General features: G+C 38.4%; 1 protein-coding gene across 2 annotated transcripts; it reads right to left on the bottom strand.

The window, feature by feature from the left end:
- Nucleotides 1-554: 554 nt before the first annotated feature.
- Nucleotides 555-17613, bottom strand: MCTS1 (MCTS1 re-initiation and release factor). 2 transcript variants are annotated; one of them, NM_014060.3, is made up of 6 exons: nt 17467-17613; nt 16155-16307; nt 15538-15635; nt 13356-13489; nt 10636-10703; nt 555-9531 (listed from the first exon to the last, which is right to left on the bottom strand). In NM_014060.3, exons 1-6 carry the CDS (start codon nt 17475-17477, stop codon nt 9450-9452), a joined length of 546 nt encoding a protein of 181 aa, NP_054779.1. In that variant the 5' UTR covers nt 17478-17613; the 3' UTR covers nt 555-9449. The 2 variants fall into 2 exon arrangements, with proteins under 2 accessions (NP_054779.1, NP_001131026.1); NM_001137554.2 differs by lacking the exon at nt 17467-17613 and adding an exon at nt 16847-17015.
- Between the last annotated feature and the right edge of the window lie 247 nt (nt 17614-17860).

Raw genomic sequence — 17860 nt, 5'->3', positions numbered from 1 at the left:
CAAAATACCACCCCTGTACCATCTGAGGGGAAGAGGGAAAAACTTCCTGGCTTGATGGAAGACTGAATGCTGGCACTGAGAATCTTTTTCATACTTACCACTTTAAAGCACTTGCCTCTAGCACGAAGCTTCAGGGAATACTGCCTTTTCTCCAACCCATCGCCGTCCAATAGATAAAACATGAGCCATATATAATTTCACATATTCTTTCTTTCTTTTGAGATGGAGTCTCACTCTGTCGCCCAGGCTGGAGTGCAGTGGCGCAATCTCGGCTCACTGCAAGCTCCGCCTCCCGGGTTCATGCCATTCTCCTGCCTCAGCCTCCCGAGTAGCTGGGACTACAGGCACCCGCCACCGCGCCCGGCTCATTTTTTGTATTTTTAGTAGAGACGGGGTTTCACCGTGTTAGCCAGGATGGTCTCGATCTCCTGACCTCGTGATCCGCCCGCCTCGGTCTCTCAAAGTGCTGGGATTACAGGCGTGAGCCACCGCGCCCAGCCTTTAATTTCACATTTTCTAATAGTCACATTTAAAAAGTAAAGACACAGGTGAAATTACTTTTAGTAATATATTTTATTTAACCCAAACATATCCAAAATATTATCATTTCAATATATAATCAACAGGAAAGAATAGATAATTTACATTATTTATTAAGTCTTTGAAATCCAGGGTGTATTTTAGTTACAGCACATCTTAATTCAAACTAGTCACATTTCAAGTTCTCAGTGGCCACATATGGATGGGCAGAGGCTACCATATTAGATAGCATAGGTCTAAGCAAGTCCAGAAGTATGAGACCCCCCAATAGCTAAACATGAATGGGAGAAAACTTAGTTTCTTCTAAAAGTTGTATTTATTTTTCTGATTTTCTTGAATGCAATGGAAACTGCAACCTGACTTTTAGCAAGCCCCAGGCCATCTCCTTGCATGACTTTAATCACTGGATTTTTCTTCCCAAAAATTAAATCATTGGATCCGGAGCAAAATGTAGATTAGGCCCCTCAATGTTTTTTCCCTTAAATTATAACTGAACCCAAACTCTTCCTGTCATTAATTTTAATATCTTTTTTTTTTTTTTAGACGGAGTCTTGCTCTGTCGCCCAGGCTGGAGTGCAGTGGCACAATCTCGGCTCACTGCAACCTCCGCCTCCCAGGTTCAAGCAAATCTCCTGCCTCAGCCTCCTGTGTAGCTGGGATTACAGGCACGCGCCACCACGCCCGGCTAATTTTTTTTTTTTTTTTTTTTTTTGTATTTTTAGTAGAGACAGGATTTCACCATGTTGGCCAGGGTGGTCTCAATCTTCTGACCTCATGATCCACCCACCTTGGCTCCCAAAGTGCTGGGATTACAGGCACGCGCCACCATGCCCAGCTAATTTTTGTTTTTTGTTTGGTTGGTTTTTGAGACGGAGTTTCGCTCTGTTGTCCAGGCTGGAATGCAGTGGTGCGATCTCAGCTCACTGCAAGCTCCGCCTCCCGGGTTCATGCCACTCTCCTGCCTCAGCCTCCCGAGTAGCTGGGACTACAGGCGCCCACCACTGCGTCCGGTTAATTTTTTGTATTTTTAGTATAGACGGGGTTTCACGTTAGCCAGGATGGTCTCGATCTCCTGACCTCGTGATCCGCCCACCTTGGCCTCCCAAAGTACTGGGATTACAGGCGTGAACCACCGTGCCCGGCCTTCCCCAGATATCTTCAAAGCAACTGCTAGTCCTGCTTTTGCACATTACACTCTACATTCTCATTGCCCCACTTAACTAACCCTCCCTCATGTCCTTTTCTAAAGATGTAGAAGACTTTGAAATAGCATAACATTTAAATGGTCACAAATCACCTGGCTTGAAAGTGACTAATAATAGGAAAATCAGACCTCAGGACTGAGTTCAATTTCAAGATTCTCCCACTCCACTTTGCTAAGAGGGAAACAGAAAAACATTACTCCAGCCACACAAATATGATACTGTGCAAGTATCCCACTCTTACTCATTCAAATCCTACCCATTTTTTCCCATCGTGGAACAGAGTCTTGCCAACTTATACCTCTCTCCAATAACCCATAAAGATGGTGATTTGAATTTGGGCCAAGATTTAACATTTTATGAAATACAAGAGGAGAGTTTTCTGCAAAACACAGGATTTGCAGACAAGGAGACTTAGGTTCAAATTCCAGTTCTGCCATTTATTACCTCAGAGAGGTCATACAACTTTCCTGAAGTTGTATGACCTCTCTGAGCCTTAGTCTCCTCGTTTGTAAAATGAGAGTTAAAATCTACCTCATGGAATCATTGCTAAGATTAAGCAAGATATATAAGTAGAGCTTGTGCACATGGTAGGTACTTGGAGAATGTTATTTCTCCTTCCCTCTTACTCATCTGGACAAGTTTAACTAGAATTCTAAACAGTTAAATATGTATCAATCCTTTGTATTAAATATCTTGATGGTAAAATGTTAAAATATTGATGTGAATAACAGCTGGTATTGAATATTCAAATTAGGGGAACTCTTTCATTGTTTTAAGATAACATCTGTACATTTAATCTGTGCCATGCAATAAAACAGCTTTTCCTGAAACAGCTTTTTAAAAACTATTTTTAAGAAATTCATAAGTTACTTTTAAGAACATTAGCTTAGAACATCTTCCCCTTTCACAACAAATTAGACATTAGAGCCAAAATTGCCCAAATTGGTATAGTTTCTATCTCCCTACACTTTAATCAAGATGTTTGTCTTTATATCAGCAAAAACCGCTACTTAAGTGAGATTCCTGCATCCCAATAAATGTATCTGGGCATTTGGTACTTGAGAGAGGATTGGGTTTGACAACACCCAGAAGCTAATGAGGATGTGCCTTCTCTCAGACCTTTGCATTCAGGAGCAAGAAAGCAGAAATACTTTGTGGACTCCTTTTCAGACACTTTACAAAATACAAAATTTTAACCTTGTGAAACACAAAATAAATGCAGGATAAATGTCCAAACATTTTAGCCCCTACTGTTTTTGAAACTGAATAAAGCCATGATAGTGAAAAATATTTTCCAGTCAGTGCTTTTTGGAAGCTATTTAGTAGATATTAATTTGATGGGTTAGAGATTGCTATTATCCCATTAAATGAAGCTGTTTCTACTTCATATTCAAATATATTTCAAGTTGAACTTGCTTAAATCTAAAATGCTTACACAAGCAAACTGTGGAAAGAATTTAGTCACGCAAAAGAAAACTTTTTCTTAATCCTGGATAAGTCAACTCTAAGAAAGCTGTCCAGAGCCTACAGAGCAAAAAGGACTTTCCTTCCAGCCTCCTCACCATGTCCAATCTAGTCCAGATGTGAAGAGTCAATTTTGGTTTTAAACAAAATTTGCATGCAGCAGCATTAGAACTAATGAAAACAGTATCCAGACTAAGACGTGCATACAAAATCTTTCACATCATGAGAAACTAAAAATTTGTTAAAACATCAGTCGGCAGGAACAGACATCTCAAGCTCCACTGATAAGGGAAGCAAAACTGGAACTACATGCCGCTTTTAAAAGTGTCTCAAATTTAAGCTCACTCAAGGACTATTAATAGACAGTGTCAAACTGACATGCCGTTTCATCATTAAATCATCTTATTGGTTTGCAAGTTTCCAAGCCTCAGGGCTTCATTATGCATCAGCATAGGACAACACCAGAATTTGGGGACAAAGACAACATCCCTTTTTGAAAGAGGTGGTAAGAATAAAAACAGGTTGGCCAACCTTGGAAGCCACCGCAGTATGGCTTCCCATGAACCAAAAAGGCAATTGAATTGTATTTGTTTTCAAGGCATACGTTTGGAAAAATAGCACTTTTTCCAAGCATGTGCTTAGTTAGAACAAATGATTTATTGCTTAAAACCCAGTCTTTTACTCACACGCTTGTGAAAATAAGAAGAAATTACCTATTTCACCATAGATTATTAAATGGACGTTAACAGTTATTGACAATCGAGTCTTGTGATAAGAAATTAAAATTATAAAGTAAATCTTCCCGTCTTTAAATTCTAGGTGGTAGAGTTCTGAGAACACTTACAATGAACTTTAAGGGAGTAATTGATTATGCTTTTGAAGTCTCCTATATTCACATATTGGCTGAAAGTAAAGCATTTTAAAATTGGAGAATGAAATGAAGAGCAATAACATTTGTTATATGAAAACTGTGGTTTTACTTTTAAAATGGGATTTTAAAAATGTATTAGTTGGGTCGGGTGTGGTGGTTCACACCTGTAATCCCAGCACTTTGGGAGGCCAAGGCGGGTGCATCACCTGAGGTCAGGAGTTTGAGACCAGCCTGGCCAACATGGTGAAACCCTGTCTCTACTAAAAATACAAAAATTAGCTAGGTGTGGTGGCACACGCATGGGATCCCAGCTACTCGGGAGGCTGAGGCAGGAGAATCGCTTGAACCCGGAAGACAGAGGTTGCAGTGAGCCGAGATCGTGCCATTGCACTCCAGCCTGGGCAATGAAGCAAGACTCCATCTCAAAAACAACAACAACAACAACAACAACAAATGTATGAGTTGGATGAGTTTAATTTTTTGCTTTCTGTTTCTGCCTAAAGATAAACCAATTTAGCATATATTGATATTAAGATGTCTGCCATATTTTGAACGTTAGCCTGTTGATTTACAGTCTTCCAAATAAGACTGATGCCTGAAGCTCATTTTTTGGTTAACTGCTTCTGTTAGTTGCACACCTTTTCCTACCTTCCTCTAATCTTAAGTCTATTTAGTCATTTGAAATATCAGTTTTCACCTGTTAGTATTACTAGCTATGTTTGCTATATTTCACAAATACATTTCTAAAACAATCCATTAATTAGAATTGGACATTAATAGTGAGGCATGTCATTCTCTGTAACAACTAAGATTTTAAGTAGAAATTATTTCACTAATTCATCTTTTATTTCTCAAAGTATTCAAGGCTAAAATTTGGAGTTCTTTAATTTTCATTCTAAGAGGCAAGTATTAATTATACTAATGAGTTCAGATGTTTTTATTTATTTTTCCTCCCAATGACCTATTCTTAATGAACATGGTATTATTAAGAGACATTCCAGTGAATCATCTCCTGTATTTTTTTACATGCATAAATTATATTCCCTAAGGCCAGACTCTTAAACAGACAGATGAACCTAATAGTCTCAACAATGATTTAAAAACTGGCCCTCAATTTTCTTCATTCATTCCTGATCTCGTGGAGTTGTGGTCCTTTACTTGGTTTTAACACAGTATTCAACAAATTGTTGTTATAGTTGATAACATCTACTCATTCTTTTACCTGCCTTAAAAAGTGTAATAAAAGTATTCATACAAAGTATAAAATACATACAAGTATAAAAATGTATAATACATTTAATTTACATGCATCTCTACAATGACAAGTATGATTTCTTTAGAAACTGATGCATACATTTTCACTGTTTTTCTTTCATTATATATCAGTTTTAATGCATACTACTTAGAAATTAGAATCATTTTGAGTTTCTTGAAGAGCCTTGATAATTATAGTCTCAAAATTAAGGAACCTAGACAAACAAAGTTAAAATATTTATGACATTTTGCTTGGGCATACATTCATATTTCCATTAATATATAATTGCTACATTATTAATAAGTGACATATTTATTATAATGAAACACCTCCACGAATTTAGTGAATTGTAATTCTTATCTCTTCCTCTGAAGTATTATACTTAGAAATACGTATCTTCAGTTACTGATTTGGGTACGACAGGGAACCTGGCTGGATATCATTATTATTTGATATATGCCATATAACCTTCTGTTTGGGGAATATAAAATCCCTCAAATTGGAAATGTTCATGACTACCCATGGGATAAATCCAGCTGTTTTTGTTTGGGGTCCAGAGCATAAAAACAGAAAAGGAAAAATGCAGCTTCCCAACAGACCACTACCAAACCACCATAACAGACAGTCTGCTAGAAGAGAACTGATCAGGCCATTATGTCACCGGACAACAGGACAATCATCTGAGTTGGGATGCTGAATCACGGCAACTCCAAGACATCTGGGATTTTTTTTTTACCCTCACATTGGATACAATCTATGGAATATTACTACATTTAGTTCATTTGTAATTTACAATTTTTGATGACTAAAATTGGAAAAGGATTAGTACATTCCTACTGGCTTTACATATTAGTATTGGGCTGTCACCATTACCCAGATTATTTAAAATGTAAATTTTCTTTACTCACTAGATTGGAAGCTCCTTAAGAGCAAGGGCTACTTCTGTATTATTCATCTTCATGCCACGTCACTTAGAACCTAGTAGATACTCAATAAATACCTATTGAGCTGAACTGACCTTGTCTGAGTAAAAGTGAGTCCAATACACAAGTTACTAGATTGTAGGTTGGTTTGACACAAACTTAATTTTGAAACTAAAAATGAACTAAAGACACACTGCCTGAGAGAAGCAGGCTCTCTATCCCTGTATTCCTATTCTCACGAATATAGGTAAACTAAGTTTCCATTAAGCACAGTATCTAAAGATGCTGACACATCTGCTAGTTTAATCTCTTTGAATTGCCTTTCATGTATGACCTAATGTTTAGAAAATGACAAGGATCACACATGTAGAGTGACATCCCTGATTAACAGTGATGAGCAGAGGCCTCAGACCCAGGGGAAGCAGAGAACATACATATTTAGTCCATATCACCAAGGCAACACAGTGTACCTCAGCACAGTAGAAAAACAAGCACAGATGTTGATGTTGAATATTTAAAAAGTGTTCCTTACACCCACTGTAACAGTGGTTAGACACAAAGATGAATTATTTCAAAAACCAAGCTATTAAAAGTTTTTACTTCTCTAATGTATGTATATGTGTGCTTTGTTTTTCATTGCTAATACTCCATAGGCAGTCTTGGTCAAAAAACATTCTCTTAGCAACAAAAATAAAGGTTCAAAGTTTGATTCTGACATAAATGACTTGTATATTCTTTTTAAGAACATAAGGAGCTACAGGCCTCAAATAGGGTGCCTCCTCCCCCAAATAGGGAGACATCTGAATTTGAAGCCAGTAAGTCAGCAAAAAATTAAACTATCTGTTGAAGAAACCCCCCTGGGAGATGACTTACAAATGAGTTCCTGATGAGACTATTTATACTTTCGTGGACCAGGAATAAATAATATGGTAAGCTGCAGAATAAAACTGTCATAACATAAGGAAAACTACATGGAACTTGAAAAGGATATAGGAAATAAAATATCAGGGCACCTCTATGGGCTAGGAAAGAGATGAGATTTTGGCAGAGATAAGCATTCTAATTAATGATGAAGCAGGAAAAATTCTCCAAGTCTTACCTCAGCACAACTGAAATATTACCCCAATTTATCAATCTTCCTTTGCTCATACCTGTGTTTACCAAGTAACTTCCTGTTTCCTAATTGTTTACCATAGGCAGACCTATCACTATGAATTAATACATTTATATTCTAACTGGGGAATCTCCAAGTCTCTCAAGTTTCATCAGTGGGAAATGGTTTCTCAAGCTGAGGGTCAGACCCTGGATCTATGTCCACCTATGTTACATCCTGGGAGACCCAGCTGGAACAGCCAGCCAAATGATCTCTCTCTTTTTGCTATCCACCCTCACCTTTCTCACCAACTTCTAACTGTAACACAGGTCACCACAATCTTGTATATGTCTGTATCCATCTGAAAAATAAAATCACATGTCATATATTGGTAAACAACCAAATGAAGATGGCTAAGACACTAGAATAACAGCAAGGTTATTAGGAAGAAAAATGGTCTTTATCAATAAATAAATCCACAACTGCTCTTTTAACTCCCCAAACAGATTACTGTTCTTACTAAAGCAGGTCCATGTCCCTCATATTCCACTTATAGAAGATATACATTATTTAAGGAGTCTAGTGGGGACCCAAATCCAGATGTTCTGGGCATCTGTTTGGTATGACTTTACTCAAAAGAAGGCACTAAAAAAACTGAACCTGAATCTGATCAATCTTATTTGTTTACAGGATATACAGGAGGCATAAAAACAAGTTAATGACTTCACAGTGATACAATCAACAAAATCCAGAATATGTGTGGAAACTTTAAAGACAAAACAACTAGATTTCTTAAATAATTTAAGGGGGAAAAGAAAAGGTAACTTATAAATTAAACAGACTTCAATAAATAACAACCAAATGCAATGTATGAACCTTGTGTGGTACCTATTTCAAGCAAACCAACAGTTAAAGAGAATTAACAGTCTAGACAGTTGATCATATTAAGAAACAGTTCAACTTTTTAGGTGTGATAATGGTATTGTGGGGTTTTTCTAATTTTTAAAGATACACACTAAAGTAGTTATGACGCCAGGCATGGTGACTCATGCCTATAATCCCAGCACTTTGGGAGGCTGATCACTTGAGGCCAGGAGTTCAAGACCAGCCTGGCCAACTATAAAATATATAAAAATTAGCTGGGCACGGTGGCTCATGCCTGTAATCCCAGCACTTTGGGAGGCAGAGGGGGACGGATCACTTGAGGCCAAGAGTTCAAGACCAGTCTGGCCAACATAGCGAAACCCCATCTCTACCAAAAATACAAAATTAGCCGGGCATGGTGGCACGTGCCTGTAATCCCAGCTACTCAGGAGGCTGAGGCACAAGAATCGCTTGAACCCGGGAGGTGGAGGTTACAGTGAGCCAAGATCGTACCACTGCACTCCAGCCTGGGCAACAGAGCAAGACCCTGTTTCAAAAAAAAAAAAAAAAGAATAAAGTAGTTATGGATGAAATGATAGGATGTCTGGGATTTGCTTCAAAATAATTGGGGGGTGGGGAGAAATAATTGAGGTATAGATGAAATAAGACTGACCATAAACTGAAACTGGGTGATGGATATGGAGAGGTCCATTATACTATTCTCCAGACTTCTTAATATGTTTAGAATTTTCCATTGAAGTTTTTTTTAAAAAAACAATCAACAAAACACACACACACACACACACACACATACACACACACACACACACACACACACGAGAATGAGCACTGCTGGGTCCCCTGGAGTAATAGAATAAAATTCCTAGTCTAGTTTCTAGCCCCATTTAACTAGACAGTTTCTCTAGAGGTCTACCATAAAATGGCAATCCATTGACCAAGTCCTGCTCTTCACTCTTATATCATTAGCCTAAGAAAGGACATTAGTTGTATGAGTTTGCTTACTTACCAGATACCTTTTAATGTCCAAGTTTGCTACCCAATTTTAACTTGAGTTTAAGAAAACTTAAAATAATTTCTGAAGCTAACAGAATTTTAGCATCTGGTGAATTTATTCAGCATAACCACAGGCATTATCTTCATGCTGTCACACACAGACACAAACACAGATACAGCACAATATCCATATTTAGCCCAAGTGCATTCCTTCTGAGGCTCATTTATATGTCTTCATATGCCACAGCCCATCATTTAAATAATGGATATTTTCAATGCCAATTCCTTTGTTGACTTTCTCACTGTAGAAGGAAAAAAAACACATAAACATACTTTTATGCATTTTTATAGTCTTACTCGTGATAAATATAATTCAAAGTATATTGTTATTTTTTAATTATTAAGCCACAAGTAAAGAACTTATTGACATCACAATTACATTGTTGTTTATATTAAACTACATTACTCTGTGGCAGCTCATATCTAAAAGTGATTTTAGTGATCTAACTAGTGGGTCTATAGAACCAGAGTAACAATGTCACAAGACTAGGGGAATATCAAAGTGCTACATTAACCCTGAAACAAAATTAATACCACTAATTTGGTCATCAAATGGGTTCTAAAATTTTTAAATATACTGCCTATGTTTTGATAATATATCTTTACTAGTTCTCTAAATATTCTACATTTCTTGTATTACCAGGTCAGGATATAAGATACTGTGTGGTGGTGAGATATATCACTGTTTTTAAAACTAGCAGTAATGACCAGGTGCAGTGGCTCACACCTGTAATCCCAACACTTTGGGAGGCCGAGGTGGGTGGATCACTTGAGGTCAGGAGTTCGAGACTGGCCTGGCCAACATGGTGAAACCCCATCTCTACTAAAAATACAAAAATTAGCTGGACATTATGGCGCACACCTGTAATCCCAACTACTTGGAAGGCTGAGGCACAAGAATCGCTTGAACCTGGGAGGCAGAGGTTGCAGTGAGGCGGGATCGCGCCACTGCACTCCAGCCTGGGCAACAGAGTGAGACTCCATCTCAAAAAAACTTAAAAAAATAAAAATAAAAATAAATAAAATGAAGCTAGCAGTAAAACATCTTCCCTCCTCCCCCAATTTAAATGATACTAAATAAGATTCCTAAAGTACCACGTACACACATATAAAACAGCTGTGTTGGCACATGGGTTCTTTTCAGTGCTTAAGAAAGACTACAATCCTGAAGACAAAATAGGTTTCATTGGCTTCCTAAGTGTTAGGAAATATCAGAAATGAAGCTTCTGTGCTTGGATATTTGTGTAATGTGGTATGCATGATAGCAAATTTCACCTGTAATTCTGATGCTTCCTGGGTTGGTTACCCATATATCAAAAGTTAAGGGGGCCTAAAGTAAGACTTACATGTCTTCTGCAGACATCTTCATGACTCCAACACATAGAGCATGCTGTTTTCCTTCTGCCATGATAGCCTGAAAGAACACAGCTAAGAAAACTATTTATCAAAATGCCTTGGGGCCTCCCCATCAAGGGAAGGGTGTCAAATAATGATCATGTTACTAGTTAAGCCACTTGGAACCCCTCTTGTGTCTTCTCCTAGACCATTAACTCCTTGAGAGCAGAGACCTAGCAGAGTCTGTGGGTACACTGTAAATACTCAGTAAATGCTAAATGAATAAATCTAATAACCCCTTTTCTTTCAAGTCAAATGTTAATACTATAACCCCATGCTAACAAAACCAGAATAAGTCACACAAAAAAGGAGTAAAATTTCTTGCACATAAATACTAAAAACTGTGAAATCAATAAATATTAATTGTTCTGATTAATTATTCTGATCACTGACTAGTGGGGATTTTTGTTTGTTCTTGAGACAGAGTCTCACTCTGTTGCCCAGGCTGGAGTGCAATGGCGCAGTCTTGGCTCATTGCAACCTCTGCCTCCCGGGTTCAAGCAATTCTCCTGCCTCAGCCTCCCGAGTAGCTGGTGCTACAGGCGTGTGCCACCACACCCAGCTAATTTTTGTATTTTTAGTAGAGATGGGATTTCACCATGTTGGCCAGGCTGGTCTTGAACTCCTGACCTCATGATCCGCCTGCCTCAGCCTCCCAAAGTGGTGGCATTATAGGCGTGAGCCACCATAGCCGGCCGTTTGTTTTTTTGAGATGGAGTCTTGCTTTGTCACCCGGCTGGAGTGCAGTGGCATGATCTCAGCTCACTGCAACTTCTGCCTCCTGAGTTCAAGCAATTCTCCTGCCTCAACCTCCCTAGTAGATGGGATTACAGGCGCATGCCACCCCACCCAGCTAATTTTTGTATTTTTAGTACAGACAGGGTTTCGTCATGTTGGCCAGGCTTGTCTCGAACTCCTGACCTCAGGTGATCTGCCCGCCTCAGCCTCCTAAAGTGCTGGGATTACAGGCATGAGCCACCACACCCGGCCTGAATGGTGGTTTTATGTAAAGGCTGTTTTAAAATAATAGGTAAATTCCCAGTCTATCTTTAAGAGCCTGATATAACAGTTTCAACCTTTCTAGAAAAACCAGAGTGGTCTTGGTTAACATATGAAGTTTCTGGAATGTTAAACACTGCAGTACATATTTTAAAAAGTCAAGATTCAGGGTACACAAGACCTCTCTGTACCATTTTCTTTAACAACTTTCTCTAAATCTGTAACTGTTTCAAAATAAAAATTATTTTTAAAAGTAAAGACTAGGTACTAAGGAAATTTTCCATTTAAGGTTAACTCCAGAACTATAAATTTACCAACACTTAATAAATATTAAAAACAAACAACAACAACAAAAAACCCGTCCTCACTTTTCTCCCTTGATTTTCAATTCACTCAGTGTTCCAAATATGTGAGCACCTATTAGGCAAAAAGCATGTCAACATAAGCTGTTCCTAGAATATAAACATACTACTTATACTACCTCTTCGCTATAACTGCCCCAACAGAGAATATCATTTTTTTTTCTTATTCTTCTTAAACACACCCCTGGCCAGGTGTGGTGGCTCACACCTGTAATCCCAGCACTTTGGGAGGCCAAAGCGGGTGGATCACCTGAGGTCAGGAGTTTGAGACTAGCCTGACCAACATGGTGAAACCCTGTCTCTACTAAAAATACAAAAATGAGCCGGGCGTGGTAGTGGGTGCCTGTAACCTCAGCTACTCGAGGGGCTGAGGCAGGAGAATTGCTTGAACCCAGGAGGCAGATGTTGCAGTGAGACAAGATCGTGCCACTGCACTCCAGCTTGGACGACAGAGCGAGACTCCATCTCAAAAACTAAAATAAGATAAACACACTCTAAAAGTAGTTTCCCTATTCCCACCAAGTACCATTCCTTTTCTATACCCGAGGCAAATGGCTACTTTAGCTATGATAAAGGAGAAGATGTTCTCCTGTCCAGAATAGTCACAAAAATCTATTTAATCCAGAAAATAGCTGAAACAGCATGGTAGAAATGGAAATAATGCAGAATTATTCAGCTATGTCATGAGTTGAATCGATCTTTAAGGACCATCTGGGACTCTGACATTTCTCTTTGAGAAAACGTGCTCTGAGGCCCCCAAACTCAACTTTTCAAATAATTAATTTTCAAAATAAAAGTTGGAGGTTGCCAATATTTCCCACTATTCACTCCTAACACAAAATTGTTGCTTGGTAAGAGATACCTATACCTGGTGCCTAAATTCTTTTCCCTTTTGAGAGCTTTCACTCCAACGTATGTCAGTAAGTCAAAATGAACATTACAGTGGCAAGTTGATATCCAAAAAGCTGATCCAATTATATCATCTATATCCTTTCCCCTAGTAATCAAGAATTCCCTATTGTGTCCTAAGTCTGATAACAGTAGGCCCTGACTGGGCTGAAATGCAGCTGAGACTCTTCTGTAACTTGTTCTCATTTAACTTCTAAGAAACGACCTAAGATGAGATAATTTAGTAGCAACAAATAAAATTACTTTGTACAACTTCAAATGTAACCAGAAAGGCATGAGATAAGAGTAACAGTAACCTTCAAAAAAGTACATCTAATGTTCTCTTGGATGGTACACCTTTCGCAGTAATGATAAGAGCACAATGAATACATTTTTCAGCAGTTTTAGCCTGGGAAGGATACAACAATGGTATCTACTGCAGCAGGGTAAAGCTTAGCTCCAGGAGAAGTTAAGCCTGGACACATGATATTTGCTCCACTGAGTACAAATTTGATGGCTCCTTTATCAACCTGCTGGTGTGGCAGGATAAAAGGATCTGTAAGAAAAGATATACAATATATTAATAATAAGACTAATGACTCAACAGAAAAAGGCAAAGGATCTGAACAGTATTTCCCCAAATTAATCTGACAGATACAAAAGAAAACTCTGAAACACTATCATTTGTTTACCAAATTGGTAATCTTTTTTGTTTGTTTTTTTGAGACAGGGTCTTGCTCTGCCACCCAGGCTGGAGTACAGTGGAGCAATCAATACCTCACAATAACCTTGAACTCTTGGACTCATGCAATCTTCCCGCCTCAGCATCCCAAGTATTCTCCAAAAACCGTAATTTCAAAACTATGGTTTTTGGAGACTACTTAATATGCCCTGGGAAATTTTTGTGATATAATGTTAAGTGAAAAACGCAGAGTAAAAAAACGATTAAAAAGATCAGTGGTTACCTGGGGTTGGGGAAGTGGGGGGAGGAAGGATGAATAGGTGGAGCACAAAGGATGTTAGGCCAGTAAAACCATTCTGTATGATACTTTAACAGTAGATACTTGACATGTATTTGGGAAAAACCATAAAACTGTAGAATACAAAGAGTAAACCCTAATGTAAACTAAGGACTTGCGTTAATAATAATGTATCAATGCTGGTTCAATTGTTACAAATGTATCATTCCAAAACAAGATGTTATTCATAGGGGAATCTGAACTGGGGAGAGGGAACTCTATTCTTTCTGCTTACTTTTTCTGGAAACCTAAAACTGCTCTAAAAAATAAAAGCCTGTTAATTTAAAAAAAAACTACAAGGGGATGAGGAGAAGTTGGTTAAGGGGTATAAAAATACAGGTCGATAAGTTCTAGTATTCGAGAGTACAATAAGGAAATTATATTTAACAATGATTTACTCTATATTTCAAAATAGCTAGAAGAATTGTAATCTTCTCAACACAAAGATAAACGTTTGAGGTGACAGATACCCTAATTACCCTGATTTGATCATTACACGCTGTATAAAGGTATCAAATATCACATGTACCCCTAAAATATGTACAACTATTATAAATATATATAGGTGGTGGGGGATACAGGCACCACAACAGCAGACAATGTACAGCTATGACGTATCAATTTTTAAAAACTATGTAACAGAGAGCCCAATTTTAAAAAAAAATGCATTTACACACATCACAGGAAATACCTGGACGGAAGGACACTTAGTCAATGCTTTCCCATATATAGACTTTTCTCTATTAGGCAAATAGATACAAATATAAAAGATGAAAATGCTCACAATGCTTATCACAGTTTGTAAATACATATTTGCGTAATTATCTAATTGTTGTTTATTCTCCAAACTAGACTATTAGTTTCTTAAGGACAGAGACAATGTCTTTGCTTCCCATTGTATTCTCAGCACCTAGCTGAATGCCTAGCACATAGTAAGTTCAATAAATATTTGTCTTTTTTTTTTTTTTTTTTTTTTTGAGACTAAGTCTCGCTCTTGTTCCCCAGGCTAGAGTGCAATGGCGTGATCTCTGCTCACTGCAACCTCCGCCTCGCGGGTTGAAGTGATTCTCCTGCCTCAGCCTCCCGAGTAGCTGGGATTACAGGCACCTGTGACCACGCCCGGCTAACTTTTGTATGTTTAGTAGAGACGGGGTTTCACCATGTTGGCCAGGCTGGTCTCGAACTCCTGATCTCAGGTGATCCACCCGCCTTGGCCTCCCAAAGTGCTGGGATTACAGGCGTGAGCCTCCGTGCCCGGCAATAAATATTTGTTGAATGAATTAATAAATGATCTTTCTTGGGCTTTCTGGAATGCATGAGAGAATCTGCATTTTTCAGATTTACCACAAGATGGGCATTCATTTTAGTTTTACATCCATTATTACCTAGTACTAATAAATAATGAGTCAATTATCAGAAGTCACTCTAAACTCTTTTTGTGTCTTTCAGTATTCCCAAATGCATATTTCTGTTTTTCTCCCCCAGCAGTGTCTTATCTGATTAAATGCATATTTCTTACAAGACTTTACATTTGAATATTGCAATAGGAGTAAAATTTCAAAAAATAAAAATAAAAAAACCTTACATTTGTGAAGTAATCTTAGGGTTGGATAAAAAGGCCCTTCTCTTTGTCTAAAAAAGAGTAATTCTCCATTTACTGTAAGGATTTCTATATGTTCATGGCTGTAAGACAAATGTCACAAAGTACCAAGTTAGATATTTTCTTTCAAAAATTCACAATATAAAACACGCATATACAGTGATAAACTTTCTTAAAAAGTCAGTAAAAATCCTGGCCAAAAAATATTGTTTACATTGTTTTTCCTATCATGCAAGTCCAGTAGAGAAAAAAAGAAAAATATTACCTGCTACAACCAATTTTATTTCACATTTTATTAATTCCATTGTTAGGTAATTCAATAAAACAATTCTCTAAACAACAAACTGAAATAAATTAAATCCAACTCTGAACTAAAACATTTAACTCTTTACTAGAACAATCAATACACAAAGCCACATTTTTTCAGGGACATAGAAAATCTTTGAAAATACAAATATTGGAGTTTTAGAGTTATTCTGTGTCTACCCCATTATTAATCTATCAATAGTTAATCTGAAAATAATTCCATTTAGTATGAGTGCAATCTAATCATTAAATATTCAGCTATACCGAGCTTTACACAGACAAAAACAAAGACTTACCATCGGACTATTTTGACAGGATCTTTCTTAGGCATGATTTGATTAAGCCATGGTTCAATACCTGGAAATTGCTCTATCAATTGATTCTTAATACCCTTAATAACTGAAGTTTTCAACTGGATGCAGTTGGACACATTTTCTTTTTCATCAAATCTGCCAAGTAATTTTTGCAAGAAAAGAAAAGGCATTTCTAAGTAGAGGTATCAGAATACCTAAAGGTACTGTTCTAATTAGTCATTTATTCCCAACCAAGTATTTAGATACTTAATTATGAAATAAATTGTTCTTTTAAAAAAAAATACCATCTCCCTTTTACTCTGTCCAGCACAAAACCAATGTCTTAATACAATATTGAAATAAACTGTCAAGTATACAGCAATTAGCTGGGGTTAGGGGGAGGAATATGAGACATACTTTGCACCATAATCTGTAATTAGCTACACAAATGCCTTTCCTGGAAAATCTTATTCAATTCTACCCAGGAAGAAACACAGGCTCCCACCAATAATAAAACCTGAGATCAGAAAACAAAACCCTCAATTCTTGAGATACAAAAGACCAACCCAAGCATAACATAGAAAATCGGCCCCTGCTAGGCTATGTAATCTGCTGAGATTTTTTTTAAGTGATGATAATAATGATTTCTAAGATCCCTATTCGTTTTTGCTCAAAATTTCATGCACAAAACCCACCTTCCTTTGCCCATGTTCCCCCTTTGCTTTTTGCGTCTACCAAATCTGGAAGGCAAACCCACTAGTAGGTTCCCAAGGAATTTTTGTCTTCCTTACACTGAATAGCCTATGGGGCAATCGTTATTTTCAAGGCAAGGTTAATCTGGCAGCTAGGCAATAGGCATGACAGGCCGCTTGCTTCCTGTCACCCAGACTCCTTCACTCCCATGACCCAGGAAGTCAAGCCTTCCTTTATTCAGTTCATAACTAATAAACATATGGCAGTGAGCGCAGGGCTCCCCTCTCAGCTACAGAGAATATGCCTCTAAATCACAGTGCACGGATGTGATTGGTAGAACCCTAGGAATGGAGACAGAATTGGGGGAGGGGGCAAAAGAGAAAGAGGGGTAAGGAGAAAAAACAATGGGAGTGGAGGGACTGAAACCCAATTAAGGACTACGGATGGAAAGCTTAAAGAAGTGTTCAAGTTGGGAGTGAGAGCATAGTACTATAGAAAACCTTAGGGAGTCAGGATGGCAGGGGCGGGGGAGAGAGAAAGAGGATCTTAGCTCTCGCCCTCTTCCCCACCCCCACCCCACCGCCTTTGTGAGCAGCCGATGGAGGCCACAGCATGTCCTTACTTCTTGAACATGATCCAAGGTGAAGGGGGCGACGATAGGGAAGGGCCCGGAATGGGAAAGAAATTGAATTTGCAGGGGTCCGGCAGATCCCCTCACACGAGGAAGGCCGGCACTGACAGTCGGAGCTGTAGTCGTTATCCGGAAAACGAGAGCCAGCCGCGCTTTACGGCTCTCAGTCAAATCTGACTACTTCCGCTCCTCTGGACTCCACGTAGGCGCTTTTGCCGGCTCCTTTTAGGCAACCGGTTCCTCAGCAGTTGGAGGTAGCTGAAAGGGCGGGACTTGAGAGGGAAGAAGTGATAGAGCAATTGCAGGAAGAGAAGAATGGAGGGGGCGGAGAATCAATCAAAGTAGCATTTATGGCACTTGCGTCAGTTACGGGTTCCTCAAAGGG

This window comes from Homo sapiens, chromosome X (assembly GCF_000001405.40).
Source record: "Homo sapiens chromosome X, GRCh38.p14 Primary Assembly".
NCBI classification, from domain to species: Eukaryota; Metazoa; Chordata; class Mammalia; order Primates; family Hominidae; genus Homo; species Homo sapiens.
Note: the sequence above shows the minus strand (reverse complement) of the source record. Positions and strands in the feature narration are given on the sequence as shown.

What these genes read in the sequence shown, in the direction of transcription:
- MCTS1 (NM_001137554.2), bottom strand. An exon ending in CCTAAGATTACTTCACAAAT is followed by an intron (nt 13,490 to 15,537) that starts GTAAGGTTTTTT and finishes CTTTTCTTACAG; the next exon opens with ATCCTTTTATCCTGCCACAC. An exon ending in CTGCAGTAGATACCATTGTT is followed by an intron (nt 10,704 to 13,355) that starts GTATCCTTCCCA and finishes GTGTTCTTTCAG; the next exon opens with GCTATCATGGCAGAAGGAAA.